The sequence below is a fragment of the Homo sapiens genome, chromosome X, assembly GCF_000001405.40.
Source record: "Homo sapiens chromosome X, GRCh38.p14 Primary Assembly".
Lineage (NCBI taxonomy): Eukaryota > Metazoa > Chordata > Mammalia > Primates > Hominidae > Homo > Homo sapiens.
The window spans coordinates 22,032,029-22,050,844 of NC_000023.11; the positions used below are offsets into that span (position 1 = coordinate 22,032,029).

Consider the following 18,816-nt stretch of genomic DNA (forward strand, 5'->3'; position numbering starts at 1 on the left):
ATCCTGGGGAATCTGCTGAAGTGGACAGTTTATGTAAACACAAAAACATCCTAATGAATGGCTGCCTCAGTAGGAGTGGCAGACAAAACACATGGTGCACTTTTCATCAAAAACACACAAGGAAAAAATTTTTCATCATATCTTTTGTAGTTGCTAATAAACTTAATTCACGCACTTGTGTTTTTTTGTGGGTTTTTTTTTTTGTACACTTCTTAGTACCACAAAGAGGAAGTGCTTTTTCTCCTTCCTTTAAGAAAAAGTTCCAGTTCAAACCATCAGCCTCTGTAGGTTGTCTTAATTGCTACTTTGCACTGCACTGGACTATGACTGATTTTTGGCACATGCTATCATACACAAAGTTCCTGAAATAAAATGCTCCAGGATATCCTAGGAACTCTTAGAAGGCTTTAAAAAGGGACTCACACACTGAAAGAATATCTTTGATGAAGACAATTCAGGCAAGCAGAATGATTCTTGCAACAGAATTACATGATTAATTGAGATCTTGAAGTGGGTCCGGTGAATCCTGGCCACCTAACTTATCATGATTTGGGGGAGTTTCACGAGAATCCAGTTTTGATAAAACAATTGTTTTTTTCCTCCCCAAGTGACTATACATTTAAATAGCTAAAACATCTGTTCAGCAACATAGTAAAACATATATACTCGGAACGCTTGAGAGAAGAGCCTGCCAAACAGGGACTTTGCTGAGGGAGAGCACCAAGATAAAGCAACACTGTTTGTTTTGTCTAGTCAGGGGGAAAGCCAAGGCAACCAATATTTTGGTTTTTATAATTTTCATTTGTGAAGAATTATTTGAGAAAGGGTGGCGAGGGGAGATTTCCTGACGGCAGTTTCTTAAGCTGTCCATTAGTAGAAGAGCAAGAAAGCCTTGGATGTCAACGCCTCGCTCTTGAGACCAGCCACCAAACCACGAAAAGTGACTTTCTTCTCGTGTGCTCTCTACGGCCCTTCTGATGGAAGCAGAAACAGGGAGCAGCGTGGAGACTGGAAAGAAGGCCAACAGAGGCACTCGAATTGCCCTGGTCGTGTTTGTCGGTGGCACCCTAGTTCTGGGCACGATCCTCTTTCTAGGTAAGTGGAGTGCAGGAGGCCGGGGGAACTGGGTGTGTGTCGAGAAGTTTCCTTGTGCTTTATTGTAGCAAAACTTGTCATAACACAGGTATAGGGCTGTTTGCCTGCGTTCATAGGTGGTGTATCTTTAGTTTCTATCAAATATGCAAATGATAAAGAAGGCTTTTTTAAGGAGCCTAAATAAATAAATACACCCAAGTACCAAATGTATAGTCCAGAAGGCAAAGTGGGTGTAAGTGGCTTCGAGTGGCTGGCTGATTCTGTTGCATTGGGTGGAAAATTTTTTATGTGGTACATTTAGCAAAATGAGTGTTTGTGAATTCATAGTCACATAGTTTCATTTATATTTTGAGGAAAGACTTTACATTGTGATGAAAACCATGCTGGAGTGTCTTTCCATTTGACTTTTATTAATGTTTGCTTGAACGAATCATGAAATTTAATTCACAAAACACAAATCAGTCCTTTAAAGTGTGCTTTTAATGATATTCTTCAATTCCTTTCTTATCCAGTGACTCTGGTGAGATGCAATTTGATTTACAAATTAATATGAAGGAAAACAGAGGTTTTCCCCCAAGATTTGAAAGATATTGTGATTCAGTTATTTTAATGACTGTTGGTGAGAATGATGTACCCAGAGAGTATATAGGATGATAGAAGTGTATTCCCATGAAAAAGAATCAAATATCTTGGAAAGGAGTGAGGGATTTTCTAAAATTCTAGGCTTTCTGAACCCTTGACTATTACCGTTTTAATTTTTCTCATACAACCCATAATACTTCATTAACTTGAACGTTACATAGGAACGAGGAGATTCTAGGTGCAGTTTGAAATGTAGCAAACCTGCAGGAGGCCATGTTTATTTTGGCAGGGGTAAACCAGTAATTAAACTTTAAAAGAGTTAGGGTTGTGTGGTTGAAAACTGCTAAAATGAGCAAACCATCTTTCCACGCTTTCTGTGGCTGAAGATTTAGGAAATTAGATGGGTTTATTGCTTTCTGATAAAGCGAAATCTCCTACTCCTGCAACTGAATCTGTGGCTCTTGAAAACTCTTGTAAGATTTCTCAGCACTTAGGGTTTAAACAAGGGTCCTCTGCTGAAATTCCAAACAAGAGGAAAAATTCTATGGGCATGCCAAAAGACTACAGGCTACGTGCAACGTGACTGCAAGGTTAGGTTTTGCAAATGCTCCCAAACTTAAAAATCCCAATAATTATTGTTTATGTAAAAATATGTACTCTTTTTAACGATATTACCACTGCACGAAACTTTTACAAAACTCTACTTTTATGATTACCTCCTGAGGCCGTGGCATATCGGTTGAAAGATTCTCCGCGGCAGCAAATCTTTGTTCTTTCAGAGAAAATTATTCTCAGGAAATAGTGCCGATGTTTTTAGAGCAAAGTAAAATTCATCAAGCCAGACGCTACTATTATGGATAAGGAGGCCTGCATAAAATATGAAAGAGAACTTTCCAGCGTGCCCAATAACCTGGCTCTCACCTTGACTCTCTAAGAGGAGCTCAAATGATGTTAGAGAATAAGGGCAAACTGAGGCTGTGGCCTCTACAACTTTGCTTCTCAAAATGGGGTCTGTGGACCAGCAGCATTAGCATCACTGGGGAGCTTGAGCTCCACCCCAGACCCGCTGATTCACAATCTGCATTTTCACAAGACCCCCAGGGGACTGTTTGCAAATGCAGGTTTGAGAAGCATTGCTTCAGGTGACCATATCTATTTGGATGTATACATTCAGGGACACTTCTTTTTGTCAAATATTTCTGCACTATTTTAGAATCACCCCCTTACCCCCTCTCCCCGTCCCTCTCCTCAACTCTGCCACCCACCTCCACTCTGCACCCAGGCAAAGTGCTTGTCTGAAAAGCTCCAGGGACCTGCCTGGCAATGCTCTTCATGACAATATTCTAGTTAGGGTCGTCGTCTCTTCAAGGGGCTTCCTGCTTGACTTTGTGGTATATTTCTCTGCCTGTCCACATTCACTTACATGCCTGCAATTTCTAGCATCCCTTCGTACCTCATCTTTGTATCTGAGGCTCTGGGATAATCTCTCCTCGCAACCTTAGTGCTTCTACAGTAAGAGTGATTGCCAGTGGTCTTGCAGTGGCTTCTGAGAAGCTACAGAGCACCAGAATGGAAAACCTTTCTTCTTCTCCTTCCCCTCTCTTTCCTCCCCACAATCTGTTTCTCAGATGCACTGGCTGGCAAACTTTTTCTGCCAAGAGCCAGATAGATAGTGAATATATTTGGCTCTGTGGGCCATACGGCCTCTTGCAACTACTCAATTCTGCTGTTGTTGCACAAAAGCATCCATAGACAATATGTACACAAATGGGCATGGCTGTGTGCCAAGAAAATCTGATTTCTAGACACTGAAATTGGAATGTTATATACTTTTCATATGTCATGAAATATTATTTTCCTTTTTATTTTTCCTGACCATGAAAAAAATGTAAAAGCCATTCATAGCTCATGGGCTGTACAGAAACAGGCAATGGATTTGACCTACAGGCCATAGTTTGCTGACCCCTGCTTTCTGGCCATTCTTATGCTCTTGATCTGTGGATGACTCCACTGCATCCTAAGGGCATTTCCTCTGGTTATAGAGAAATCTACAATGAGAAACCAAACTGCTATTTACATGTATTTTTTAAAGCTCCTAACCATTCAAAAGTAACATCTTAATTTTTATATTAAAAATATTTTCTTTATTGTCTCTATTTCATTCACTTACACCTTCACATTATCTGGGCTTATTGATCCTCATTTATTTGGAGAATTTTAAAATAACCCCATCCATGGAGATAATGCTCTTCCTTGAGGGGTTGGGTCTGTCAGTGTCCCAATTAATTAATTATACACACACACACACACACACACACACACACACGTACATATATATATATATATATATTTTTTTTTTTTTTTTTTTTTTTGAGACGGAGTCTCACTCTGTCACCCAGGCTGGAGTGCAGTGGTGCGATCTTGGCTCGCTACAACCTCCGCCTCCTGGGTTCAAGCAATTATCCTGCCTCAGCCTCCTGAGTAGCTGGGATTACAGGCGTGCACCACCACGCCCAGCTAAGATTTGTATTTTTAGTAGAGATGGGGTTTCACCATGTTGGCCAGGCTGGTCTCGAACTCCTGACCTCAGGTGATCCGCCCACCTCGGCCACCCAAAGTGCTGGGATTGCAGGCCTGAGCCACCGTGCCTGGCCTAATTAGTTATATTTAAAACCTTCCTTCTGCTCATCGTTAGATAAAGATACCTGATTTTACTTCTTCCTTTGAGGTTTTGGGTCAAGAATTATCTCTCATGAAAGGAATAAGTCTTTAACGATTTTATTAGCTATTTTGTTTTTTAAAATAAGGCTAGGATCAAGAAGGTATTGTCCAGAATTATAAAAATATTATTTACAATAAAGCTTATTTTTGCATTATATAAAAGAACACATGCTCACTAAAGAACATTAGGTCAACATATAAAAATTGACTGATGGGGAAAATTCCCCCTGAGGTTCTGCCACCCAGGCATATTGGAATATTGCACACTAATCTTTATGCTGCCCATATATATTTTTTTACATAACTTTTTTTTTTTTTTTGCTTTATACAGAAATCAAAACACACCTTTTTGCTAAGAAACTTATTTTCTTAAAAACAGGACTGAGATGGGCCAGGCGCAGTGGCTCACACCTGTAATCCCAGCACTTTGGGAGGTCGAGGCGGGCGGATCATGAGGTTAGGAGATCGAGACCATCCTGGCTAACACGGTGAAACCCCATCTCCACTAAAAAATACAAAAAAATTAGCCGGGCGTGGTGGCGGGTGCCTGTAGTCCCAGCTACTCGGGAGGCTGAGGCAGGAGAATGGCGTGAACCCGGGAGGCAGAGCTTGCAGTGAGCCAAGATCACCCCACTGCACTCCAGCCTGGGTGACAGAGTGAGACTCTTGTCTCGAAAAAAAAAAAAAAAATAGGACTGAGATGTTTCATCGGCAGTTTTCTTGAATCTCTAATGTAACACAATGCAATGCAAAGAGGCTGTTTGGAGGATGGCAGCAGAGAAAAAGAACAAAGGAAAAGCAGGCTCCATTTAGAGAGTGGGTTAATAAATAATAAAAACTCGCCACACTGGGTAGTAATCTACAGGTCTTCCATCTCTAGCAGAAATATAGGTACTGCCGAGCTTTCTGCCACAGAGGGCCTTGGTCCCCATTCACCTCCCACCATCCCTCTCCCCATGGCCACATCTCCAAATGATTCATTGTTTCTGCTCACAGAGCACAGCAAGAATGAATTCCCCAGAATTTCCTCAGCTACTACAAATACTTTTGAAATCTTAAACTAACATCTGCTAATGCCCAGGTGCTACCTGGGGTTGACAAATTGGGCACCCTTCTGTACTTCTGCAGACACCTATTTAGATAATGTTGCCAGGCAGATGGAGATATTAAGCCATTGGTGAAAAGCTATTTCAATTTTAGACTTTTTTTTTTTTGGAGTGGGGGAAGGGAGGAAATAGCTGGAAGCTTGGTCCACAAAGTTGCAAATGTCTGGTAGCTAAGCTGGGCCTGGTGGGCGGAGAGTTTGTGGGGTTCAGGGCAGGCGGACAATGACTGTTGCTATCAATAGGTGATTGAGATATGTTCAGTATATTCTTTACCCCTACCCCTTTTTTGGTCCGTATCTGTATGGATGGTTTAGATAAGATCCAGAACTCTAAAAGCCAAACATGCTAGCTTTCTATTTCCACTCTGATTGGCTCCAAATGACATAGTTTAAAAGTTTCAATTTTCCCATCTTGAACATGGGCATGGAGTTATAAACCAATAGAGTGAAAGTATGAGACTTAAACCACTGATAATTGGAGGCTGAAGCGACTTTAGAGAGTGTCTCGCCCAGTGGTGCTCATATTTGAGCATGTATCGGAATCACCTGGGGGGCTTGTTAAACCGCAGATGGCTGGGCCCCACCCCCAGGGTTTCTGAGTCAAGATCTTGGAGTGGCTTTCTAACAAGCTTCCAGGTGCAGCAGCAGCAGCTGCTGCTGCTCTAGAGACCACACTCTTAGGAGCTCTGGTCTAGTTATACTCACTTATCTTACGTACGAGAGAACTGAGTTTCAAAGCAACCAAGAGTCTTACCAAGGTTATTTAGCTAGCAGCTAGAGTCTGGTTTCGTGACATTGAACCAACTGGGTTTTGGAATACCGTGTCAACACTGAGAAGGATGAACTGATATCAAATATCTTGCGTATGTTTCCGAGGGTGGTTTACCGGATGGTGGTCTGCTACAACTCAGCCATTTATTGTGGTCTGTTTTTTCAGTGAGTCAAGGTCTCTTAAGTCTCCAAGCTAAACAGGAGTACTGCCTGAAGCCAGAATGCATCGAAGCGGGTAAGTCACAGTTTTCCATCCTGTGTCAAGTTATAATTATGGTACCTTGGGAAGTGGAAGAGAAGACAGGTGGTATTTTTAGTATTCTGTTTGCTTGAGGTTTACCAAGTACGAAATGCAATTTTGAAGAAATTTTAAGTTTATTTTCAAGTTTTGGTGTGAAACAGTGGAGCTTAGGTTTCCTGTTTTCTTTTTCCTTGCAAAAACTGTGGTATTCTAAGCGTTGTTACAAGGAAATCAGGAAGGGGCTTGGAAGGCTGAATGGCCTCTCTTAAGACCCACAGGCAGAGAACATTGGTCTTCCTATGGCTCCGCTGGCTATGAATTCCTCTTTACCTTAAGCAGTTGCCTATCTTCTGGTCTGTGGGTCTGACTTGCCTGCCTCTAAGCAAGGCTCCTTTGCAAATAAATCCACGCTTCCATTGTCAGTGGGAGTCCCTTTTCTCTTTTTTAAAAATTGAGACGGAGTCTTGCTCTGTCGCCCAGGCTGGCACGATCTCAGCTCACTGCATCCTCCACCTCCTGGGCTCAAGTGATTCTCCTGCCTCAGCCTCCCTAGTAGCTGGGATTACAAGTGCCCACCACCACGCCCGGCTGATTTTTGTATTTCTAGTAGAGACGGAGTTTCACCTTGTTGGCCACACTGATCTCGAACTCCTGACCTCAAGTGATCCACCCGCCTTGGCCTCCCAAAGTGCTGGGATTACAGGCAAGAGCCACTGTGCCCGGCTGGGAATCTCTTTTTTCTGTCACACGTTGCAAGTCAAACTTCTCTTGAGGTGACCAGGCTGTGTATCAGTGGATATCCCAGGGTGAAGATGAGTGTTTAAAGTGGCCGCAGTTTTGCCACAGTGTCTTATCCCATCAAACTCATGGCTGGAGTTGCCCCAAAAGCAGCAACAGGGAAATTCCCATGAGGGAATATCCCATCCCGAGATGGGGCCAGTTGGGATTCCAAAGAAAGAAGCACTAAATAAATGCCAGGGCGGCCGGTCAGTCCAAAGCATTTATTAGTGCAACTTATGTTGAAAGTGCTGCAGTGTATCCTCAAGACAGTGAGAGAAAAGGGGTGTTCTACTTAGGGCATTAGGGTGTGGAGACTATATGCGGGTTTAAGGAATTTGGCTCAGAGCCGGTACTAGTTTCTTTCAGTGTTTTGTGCATCAACCTAGATACCTTTATCAGTGCCTGGGAATGTTCAAGGGTCCAGTCTGGACCTAAGCCTGCTGGGAAAAACCAGCAGCTGGAATTAGCCGGGCATGGTGGCTCATGCCTGTAATCTCAGTTACTCGGGAGGCTGAGGCATGAGAATTGCTTGAGCCCAGGAGGCGGAGGCTGCAGTGAGCTGAGATTGCACCATTGCACTCCAGCCTCGGTGACAGAGGGAACTTCTGTCTCAAAAAAAACAAAACAAAACAAACCTGCAGGTGGCTGGGTCACAGAGTGGTCAGGGGATTGTGTAATTTTTGGTTAGGACACCGAAAGCGGCGGTGGGGAGGTGAGGGGAAACCTGGGGGTCCCACACACAGCTATTAGATTTCCCTCCTAAATCAGTGTTAGGGCCTAGATTTCAGGGAGCCAGATTCTAGCCCTCACCCTCATTCTTTAAGTGGGCAGGGACACTTTTTTCCTTTTTCCAAAAGGAAAGTCATCAAACAAGCATGTGGCCCTTTCACTTTCCTCTTGGCCTTAAAAGGTTAATGAACAAATTCACCAAATATTTGTTGCACATGAGGTACTGAGTTAGGTTTTGGAAATAGAGCAGTGAACCAGGTATGGGAAGAAAGACAATAAGGCAATTAATACAATGAGAAAATTATGAAACTGGGTGTGGTGACACGTGCCTTTAGTTCCAGCCACATGGGAGGCTGAGGCTTGAGCCCTGGAGTTGGAGGCCAGCCTGGGCAAATTAGTGAGACCCCATCTCTGAAAGAAAGAAAGAGGAATATCAGTCAGTGGAAAATGTTATAGAGAAAATTAAAAAAAAGATAGAACAATGTGATAGCAAGTGACAGGATGGCTAGATTGAAAAGCCGGAGGACATGACCTTGGAGGTGACCTTTGAATGATGAGGAGGGAACTGCTGTGTGAAGACTGAGGCAAGGGCTTTCCAGGTGGGGGGAACAGATGGGGCAAAGGGTGCATAGAAGCATGAACTTGGTGGACTTGAGGAACGGGAGGAGCTTGCTAGGTGAGGTGCAAGTGATGAGGAGTCAATGGGGGACCCAAGTGCCAGTGAGTTTGGGCTTTCCTTAAGTGTGCTCGAAAGCCTCTGGAGGCTTTTATGAAAGAGAATACATCTTAGGAGCATTTCAAAAGATGTCTCGGTGGAGGGCTCAGTTAGAGGGAGTCTTTCTTGATGGAGAAGAGACCATAGGGAGCAAGAATAGAAGAAGGTGACTCAAGTAGGTTTATTTCTGTACGCCAGGTGACAGACGATGCTGTCTTGAATTCAAGAGATGGAGAGGGAGAATGGGGGAAGGTTTAGGAGGTAGAGGGCCTATTGAAGGATTCGATGCAGGCTGTGAACAAAAGCAGACAATTGTGGGTGACGCTTAGATTTTTGGTGATGGTTGGGCAGTGGTGTTTATTGAGATGGGAAACACTTAGGTGAAAGAGCTTGTAAATTCGGAGACCTTATACAAAGGTAGTGGCTTAGATAATTATGTTAGTAGAGTTCTTTTTTTGTTCCATTCTTAAGTGATCTCTCTCTCTCTCTCTCTCTCTCTATATATATATATATATATATATATATATATATATATTTTAACCAGGCTGTGTGTTGAGTGCCTTACAGGCACCATCTCATAAAACCTTCATAAGACCCCTATGAAGTCAGTGCTATCACCAGCCTCACTGACAGATGAGGAAATGGAGGCTTCTGGAGGCTAAATAACTGCCCAGGGTCTCATCCTGAGTTAGTAGCAGAGCTGGACTTCGTGTCCATGTCTGGCTCCTTTCCGTCTTTTCCTTGGTGATATGGGGCCATGCCAGGCAACTCTTTTTGGCCCTGGAACTATCTGAGAACTCCCAGGCCCTTTCCTGCTCCAGGCTTGAGTAGTTGACCTGAGGTTTTCTCCAGTGGTGAGAGATTGTCATGGAGTGGGGTGAGAGAGCAGGCGGAACTATCAGGACAGGTTTTAGAGTTTATGTCACCTGGTGCTTTGGCTGTGGTGGGGTTCTTGCAGATGTGTGAAATGGGAATTTTTGAGCTCATAAATTTTCAACTTGAGTTTAGAACACTTTTTTGTATGGAAGGCCACTTATTTCATGAGTTTTAGTTCTGTATTATGAATCATAATAATGCAAGACTAAAACTTACAGACTGACATTCAAAGATGTTGCCTTCTGCCAGCTAGTGTGTTCTGCCTTGCTGTCCTGTTTTTAATTTTCACATTGGCGAATGGCTTTCTAATGTTGAAAAAAAATATTGATTTTGCTGTTTCTGGAGTGAAAGGCTCACCAAAGACCCAGTTCTCTTTAGTGTAACGTGAGCCTCAGTGTGCCCAGGGGTCTGCAGAACAGCTGTGAGTACACATGGCAGGAGAATTACGGCCAAGCCAGGGCCTTAAACAAGAGGCTGTGCGTGCGTGGGCGTGCATGCTGAAAGTTCAGAAGACTAGAGTGTTTGATCGCCTTCTGGACCATTTCTGAGCAGGTGCCAACCACTTCTGAGATGCTTCCTCTCCATAACTCTCCTCTTCTCTGTGTCCTCTTATTTTAATCCCTCTTTCAAAATAAGAGCTGTGCAAAGAATGCAAAGAAACAAGGAAAGGGCATGCATGCTCATGATCACAGATAAGGGCAGACAGGCTGACTGGGTTTGAAGCATGATTTAGCTATTTACAAGCCACATGATCCTGGGCTAAATATATAGCCACGCTAAGCCTCAGTCTCACCAAGTGTGAAATGGGAATAACAGGTTTTACTTATACTAGTCGTGAGAATAAAAGAAAATAATAATGGACTGGGCACGGTGGCTCTCGCCTGCCACCCCAGCACTTTGGGACGCTGAGGCGGACAGATCACTTCAGGCCAGGAGTTCAAGACCAGTCTGGCCAACATGGTGAAACTCCATGTCTACTAAAAATACAAAAATTAGCCAGGCGTGGTGGCGCAAGTCTGTAATCCCAGCTACCTGGGAGGCCGAGGCAGGACAATCACTTGAACCTGGGAGGTGGAGGTTGCAGTGAGCCGAGATTGCAGGTTGAATCTGCACTTCAACCCCAAGGGGGAGGTTGCAGTTCAGCCTGGGCAACATAGTGAGACTCCGCCTCAAAAAAAAAAAATTAGAAAAAGAAAATAATAATGGTAGTAGCAGTAATTTAGGTTCACAATGCTGATTCTTAACCCCAAACCCAGAAAACGATGTAACTCTCAGTTGGCAAGATGGGGGCCTGATCTCAATTCCTTTGATGGCAAAATTGGATCTTAACTCATGTGAGGCTGCTTCAGATTTCATTTATCCTACTTACAAGAATATGCATATGTTTCCCTATAGAAACATTAATGCACTTGCTTCAGGCCTGCCACTCCAGCCATTGCTGAAGTATTACATGATCTGTGGTTATATGCAATGTATTTATTTTCTAAAATCTGAAAAATCTATGAGCTCTGAAACATATCTAACCTCAAGAGTTTCAGATAAGTGATTGTGGAATTACAGTTCCCAGATTTAGCTAACTACATACATACGTACATACAGGATGCTTAGTGAAATTTGATTGCAGATACACAATGACTACTTTTTCTGGTGTATGTCTCATGGACTATTTGGTACCTACTTATTCTAAAAGGTGGTTGTTTATCAGAAATTCAGACTTCACTGGGCATCATGCATTTATATGGTAATGTGCCCAACACTATTCTAAGCACTTTACATATATTTAATTTGCATAATGATTCCATGGGGTGCTATTATTATCCCCATTTTCAGGTGAGGAAACTAAGACACAGGTTAAATCACCTGCCTAAGGTGTCTTAGCTGCTGCATGGTGTTTCTCTCATTCAAACACAAGTGGTCTGACTAGAGTTTGTGACGATACCATATTGCTAAAAAAGGGCTTAGCGTAGGTCCTGGCAAAAAGGAAATACTCAATATTGGTGATTTTATTATTGTTAATTATTATTATTACTACTCTCTCCCTTCATCCTTGATTAAATCTAAAAACAGAGGCTGGTATTTAGGGAGGATGCCTCCACCTCTACCACACAAACAGCAACTGGTGACTGTGTGACAATTAACCTTATATATAGTGACTTGGAAGAGTACACAGCCTGAGCTTTCACAGATTTCCTTCATCATCATATTTCTTTTATTAAAACAAGACTCTGGGTTTTCTCCATGGAGCTGAGTAGGGGGAAAGGCGTTTTGGTGTCTTGACAACTATGGTCCCTTGCAATTTGAAGTCACAGTTCCCCTGCAGAAAGTGCAGCCCTGTGCCCCGCTGTGAATTGTGAATGATGAATTGGGAGGCTGCAACTAGAGTTTTCTCACTCAGCAGGCTTCTTTCCAAATTCAATGTGAGTGATGTATTTCCCAACTTTTGTATCAGGGCCAAGGTCAGAGCTGACCTTGCAGTTTTTCTAGGTACCTGCAAGAATACTGGCGAGATGGAGAGGATACATTTGAGGGTTGGGGGCAGGGAAAGTTTGAGAAGGAGGCTGGAAAACAGTGTACTCATGTGGGTAAAAATGCGTGTGAGGGCTCCCCTGTGTGACTGTAAATGTTGTGTGGGACTGAGACGTGTGATCCATGTCTCTGAGGTGTCACATAGCAGATTCATTCTGTGGCTGCATACAGTAACTATAAATACCAACCAAAAGAAAGATTTTGTTATGTCCTAGCACATTTGCACATTAAATATTAATGATAAAATAGTAGCAGTAAGTGGCCGGGCACGGTGGCTCACGCCTGTAATCCCAGCACTTTGGGAGGCCAAGGTGGGTGGATCATGAGATCAGGAGATCGAGACCATCCTGGCTAATGTGGTGAAACCTGTCTCTACTAAAAATACAAAAAAAAATTAGCCGGGCGTGGTGGCGGGTGCCTGTAGTCCCAGCTACTTGGGAGGCAGAGGCAGCAGAATGGTGTGAACCTGGGAGGCAGAATTTGCAGTGAGCTGAGATCACGCCACTGCACTCCAGCCTGGGCGACAGAGCAAGACTCTGTCTCAAAAAATAAATAAATAAATAAATAAATAATAAAAAATAAAAAAGTAGCAGTAATTAAAAATGTAATTAGAGACAACTGATGCTAGTTCTGAAGCACGAAAATGTTAAGCCAATTTGAAATTTATCAAACTTCTAAGTCTTTATTTTTATTTATTTTTTTATTTTTTTAAGAGACGGGGTTTTGCCATGTTGCCCAGGCTGGTCTCGAACTCCTAGGCTCAAGTGATCTGCCCACCTCAGACTCCCAAAATGCTGGGATTACAGGCATGAGCCACAGTGTTTGGCTTCTAAACCAATTTTTTGCTAGTGTTTTTTTTTTGTGTGTGTGTGTGTGTTGTTGGGGGAGGTTTGAAAATGGTGGGGATTTTGAGGCCCTATAGAAATTAGAATGTTTTTATATTATTCACTTCATTGAAGACAAAAGGCTGTTTGAAATTTTTGTAGAAAGTCTAGGCTGGAGAAATATCTAGCCTTATTTTTAAACCTGGAGGAACCACACATGTAACCAAACTGTAAGATATGTATCTAAATTGACACAGATTGTACTTTTTTGGGGCAGTTCATTCATATTTAGCTGAAATCTCTTTGGGTTTTCATTACTTCAAACAAAAATATATTCTGGCATTATTTAAAGTATGAAAATTGCCCAGAATGTCATCTTTTCAATGTCATTAAAATATTGTCTGGTTTTTTAAAAAAATCAATTGGTACATAACTTTGTGCTAGAATGGTAGCCAGCAATTGCATGGCAGCTGGAAGAGCATTGGAGTTCAATATTGGGAATTCTCATTTTGTAATGAAGGGTTTTCTTTTAAAGTTCATGGTTACATATTTATGCACACATCTCCTACCTGTGGGTTATCTTCTATATGTAATTGTGTATGGGCTTATGAAAGAGGAAAAAAATGGTAGATCAGTCTATTGTGTCTTTCTGTTAACTTATACACATACTCAGTTCTACTGCTAGACCTGGGTCCCTCATTTAGAACACCCTACTTTGGCCCTCCTCTGGCCATGCCTCTCCTTCAGCCAAGGCGTCTGTGGAGCCAAGTAGGCAGCCCTCTCCTTCTACACCCCAGAATTCCCTGCCTGATGGCCCCAAGCTCCCTTCCAGGATCTCTGTGAGTCTCTTCTGGGGCTTCATTTCTCTGAGAGTTACACTGAATATCAAGGAGCTCAAGAATTTGAAAGTATTTTGTAAATATAACTTTTAAATATTTAGATAGATGACATATGAACTTCTGTTTCCATTAGCCTTCACTGTGAGGCAAACCACCCAAACCATAGAGGCCTGGAACAAAAATGATTGGATATTTCTCATGATTTTGTGGATTTGGTGGATGGTTTCTCTGCCGATTTTTGCCTAGGCTCATTTGTGCCACTGCATTCAGCTAGATGGGCGCCTGGACTGGAAGGCGAATGATGGCCTCAGTCAATGCCTGGCAGTTGTGCTGGCTTGGTTCTTCTCTATGTGTCCTCTTGTCCTCCAGGAGGCTGCTTCAAAGGGCAGCTAAAGGGCTCCATTCAAAGGGAGTTAATATGGAAGGTGCAAGGCCTCTTAAGGCTTAGCTTTGAAACTCACAGAAAGTTACTTCTGCCAATTCTGTTGGTCAAAGCAAGTGACAAGGTCAGTCCAAATTCCAGGCAGGGGAAATAGACTCTACCACTTGATGGGAAGAGCAGCAAGGTCACTTTGCAGAAGGACAAGCAGGATAGAAGAAATAGTCACAGTTATCTTTGCAAACAATTGACCACACGCTCTATTTGTATTCTTGTCCCATACCCCACAGATGTTAGGGATGGCCCTGCAAAAACCAGTGATGATAATACCACCAAACTTTTATCCATTCCCTTTTTTTTTTTTTTTTTTTTTGAGAGACAGGTTCACTCTGTCACCCCAGGCTGGACTGCAGTGGTGCGATCTCAGCTCACTGCAACCTCTGCCTCCTAGGTTTAAGTAATTCTCCTGCCTCAGCCTCTGAGTAGCTGGGATTACAGGCATGCATCACCATATCTGGCTAATTTTTGTATTTTTAGTAGAGATGGGTTTTCACCATGTTGGCCAGACTGGTCTCAAACTCCTGACCTGAGGTGGTCCACCTGCCTCGGCCTCCTAAAGTGCTGGGATTACAGGCATGAGCCCTTGCACCCGGCCTATCCATTCACTTTGAATGTAGTCATTTCATATAGTGAGGTAGATTCAGAGAGTTTATTTAAGGGGAAATATAAATGCCAAGGCTTGGAAACTGGTTGATATGGAATTGTTGTTTAATTTGGAAAAGAACAGTATACAACATTCAGTGCTTGTCATTAATCCTATGATTTTCTTTCTAAATAGCTGCTGCCATCTTAAGTAAAGTAAATCTGTCTGTGGATCCTTGTGATAATTTCTTCCGGTTCGCTTGTGATGGCTGGATAAGCAATAATCCAATTCCCGAAGATATGCCAAGCTATGGGGTTTATCCTTGGCTGAGACATAATGTTGACCTCAAGTTGAAGGGTAAGTTTCTACTGGGGTTTGGTGATACACTTTATAGAGAGCAATATTTGACAGGAAAAACATAGTTTGGGATTTGAAGCATGACTTCTCACTTTTTAACTACCATGCTAAATTCATTTCCAAGAATTTTTAAAATGAAAGATTGAAAGGAAAGTTTGCAGAATTCTGGACTCCCAGATCTCAACATAAGACTAATGTAGGTTGTTATGTTCATGTTTGGTAATAGTAAATTCTACTGCCAAAGGATAAAGAGCATTTGATTGAGATTGGAAGCAAAGGAATAGTTAATGAAAATTATATCAATATACTCATTTGTTGTATTCAGAGTAAACTTCATTTCTTGCTCATTGTGTCCTGGATTTTCATGGCTTACAAAATGTACTTAACACCTCATCATCTTTTGACATCACTTTTGAGAACTCTGGATGACCTTGTGGTTGTCATATTGTTCTTGTTAACTTCTAAGTTGGCTCTAGGGAGATTCACTTTTCTCCCATGGCCACTCTAGCAATGACAAGCTCACACACACATACTCACACGTGGATGCATAGAAACATACATATGTTCTCAAATACATTCCCCTGCCCCCCGCCAAAGTTGGAAATGTCTGTTATTGGAGGATATTCTGTTAGCATTGGATCTAATTTTTATGCTAAGCTATTGGAGAAGGCCACCTCAGGAGGGAAGTAGGAAGATTTCAAAGCCAGATAAGGTAATTATTTTGAGAAGGCAAAAATAGTATGGTTTTTTTTTTTGGCTCTTTTTGACAACTGTGAGTTACACCATGTAACTTGCATTCAGTAACACCTACAAAGAACTCCTGAGAAATTATAAAAATCATTTTCCCTTCCCATTTACATTTTCCCAAGATTTTAAATACATGAAAATTAAATATGTATCATTTTACAATAAGTAAAACTCTTGGCAAAATAAATAATTAGATACCTATTGTCAATTGTAAGGAAAAATGTACTTAAATTTCACAACTAGATATAAATCACATGGACTTATATTTTCTATTAGGAGACCCAAATTTAGTCTTGGAAAATTATAAATGGGAATTTACAAGGATGTCAGGGTTTTCTCCTAACCCAAAAGGAAAATTCTCATACTATAAAATCATAAATAAGACCTTGAGGAGTGAGTTTACTAATACTTTTTTCCCTGTAGAACATTAATTCATGTTGGTCTTTGATTTACCATTCTTGTCCATTTCCTATTTCCCTTCTCTGGCTTTTCTTAATAGACAGATGTGTACACACACATGTGCACACACACACACACGCGCGCACAGTCATGCATACAGAAACATTACTGAAAGATAAGAAAACTACAAGATTTCCAGGCATATGCTCCTTTTGCATTTGTTATAACCCAAAGATTTCTATATTCAGGACATGAAGTGGTTAACGATAACTTAAATAACTTTCCAGGGGTGTCTGGAATTTTAACATAAAAGTTAAAATCAGTGTCAATATGCTTTGTTTGAGGAGGGTACTGTCTACAGGCTCCTTCAAAATCAATAGAAATGCAAGTAAATTGTTAAGCACAGGGTTTTTGTATTTGCTAGCTTCCTTTTAAAAATCAAAAATTTTATTTCTCAGCTCCATTGAAGAAATAAAAAAAGAGCAAAAATTAGAAGAAAGGTCGCTCATAAATCCGTCACAAGAAATAACTGCTAATAAAGCAACTGGGGATATTTCTTTCCAGGTTTTGTTGCATGTGTGTGTCCATATGCATAACTTCATATGCACACCTATATATTGTAAAAATTAGCTGATATTATACATACTACTCTAACTTAATTTTTAAAATTAGTTGGTATTATACATACTACTCTGTAACTTAAAACTATGCATTCCTCATAGACATAGATTATGTCAGTAGATAACTTTTCTTTTCTTTCCTTTTCTCTTTTCTTTTCTTTCCTCTTGTCACCCAGGCTGGAGTGCAATGGCACGATCTCGGCTCACTGCAACCTCCGCCTCCTGGGTTCAAACGAGCGATTCTCCTGCCTCAGCCTCCCGAGTAGCTGGGATTACAGGCACTTGCCACCACGCCTGGCTAATTTTTGTATTTTTTAGTAGAGATGGGGTTTCACCATGTTGGTCAGGCTAGTCTCGAACTCCTGACCTCAAGTGATTGGCCTGCCTCAGCCTCCCAAAGTGCTGGGGTTACAGGCATGAGCCACCGCGCCTGGCCAACTTTTCTTATTATAAATAACACTGTAATAAACATCCTTGTGTACACATCTTTATGTCCTTATCTAAATGTATCCTTAGGATAAATTTCCAGAAATGGAATTATTGGGTTGAAAGAGTACTCTAAATTTCATTTTTGATGCATATAGCCAAATTGCCTTTTAGAAAGTTTATTTCAGCTGGGTACGGTGGCTCATGCCTGTAATTCCAGCACTTTGGGAGGCCGAGGCAGGTGGATTATCTGAGGTCACGAGTTCAAGACCAGCCTAACATAGCGAAACCCCGGCTCTACTAAAAATAAAAAAATTAGCCAGGCATGGTGGCACCTGTAATCCCAGCTACTCAGAAGGCTGAGGCAGGTGAATCACTTGAACCAGGAGGGAGAGATTGCAGTGAGCCAAGATCATGCCATTGCACTCCAGCCGGGGCAACAAGAATGAAACTCTGTCTCAAAAAAAAAAAAAGTTTGTTTCTAGGTCTTTATATTTTTTTGATGTTTTAAAGGATAACTTTTTCCCATCAACTGCTTTCTGTGGTATAAAGTAGAAGTCATCAAACCATTGCCAGTAGGCAAAATCCAGTCCACTGCCTGGAAGTTTTATTGGAACACAGCCACATCCATTCGCTTATGCATTATTAATGGCTGCTTTTGCACTCCAATGGTACAGTCGAATAGTTGCAATGGAAACTGGATGGCCCAAAAAGCCTAAAATATTTACTCTTTGACCTTTATAGACAGTTTGCCAATCCCTGATGCCTAGTATAAAGTAAAGCTTTGAATGTATGTATTGGATTCAATTAGAACTGTCTTATTAGTTGATAGCTCCTTGGTAGCTTCTTTGAATTTCTTAGATAGTTAATAAAGTTAAGAAATACCAGAACAGGCTGAGCGTGGTGGCTAACACCTGTAATCCCAGCACTTTGGAAGAACAAGGCGGGTGGATCACCTTCAGGTCAGAATTTGAGACCAGCCTGGCCAACATGGTGAAACCTCGTCTCTACCAAAAATACAAAAAAAATTAGCCACGCATGGTGGAAATCCCAGCTCCTCAGGAGGCTGAGGCAGGAGAACTGCTTGAACCCAGGAGGCGGAGGTTGCAGTGAGCTGAGATTGCACCACTGCACTCCAGTCTGGGCGACAGAGTGAGACTTCATCTCAGGAAAAAAAAAAAAAAAAAAAACAGAACGGTGTTGAAATAATAGCAATGATAATGGGTGTAATTTTCTTATGCCTTGCTTGGGTGGTAATGCCTCCAGTATTTCCCCTGAAAACGTACACTTTTTTTGTTTGTTTGTTTTAGATAGTTATTCTTTTTTGTGTTCTGTTGTTCCTAGTTTGCAAAAAGCTGCTGCTCAAGAAAAATGCCTCTTTGCCATTTATCAAGAGACTCAGATGGAGTATCTCTTTTAACTTATCTTGATTTACCCATGC

General features: G+C 41.8%; 1 protein-coding gene across 5 annotated transcripts in view; it reads left to right on the top strand.

Moving 5' to 3' along the window:
• The window catches only part of PHEX (phosphate regulating endopeptidase X-linked), a 218,986-nt gene continuing 200,466 nt past the window's right edge, over positions 297–18,816 (top strand). For 3 of the 5 annotated variants that reach the window (NM_000444.6, NM_001282754.2, XM_047442159.1), the window contains exons 1-3: positions 297–1,095; positions 6,441–6,509; positions 15,022–15,183. In NM_000444.6, coding sequence (NP_000435.3) covers positions 978–1,095; positions 6,441–6,509; positions 15,022–15,183 — 349 coding nt within the window. In that variant the 5' untranslated portion in view covers positions 297–977. Of the gene's footprint in view, positions 1,096–6,126; positions 6,367–6,440; positions 6,510–15,021; positions 15,184–18,816 lie in introns of those variants that run through there. The other 2 variants (XM_024452390.2, XM_017029579.2) reach the window with 2 other exon arrangements.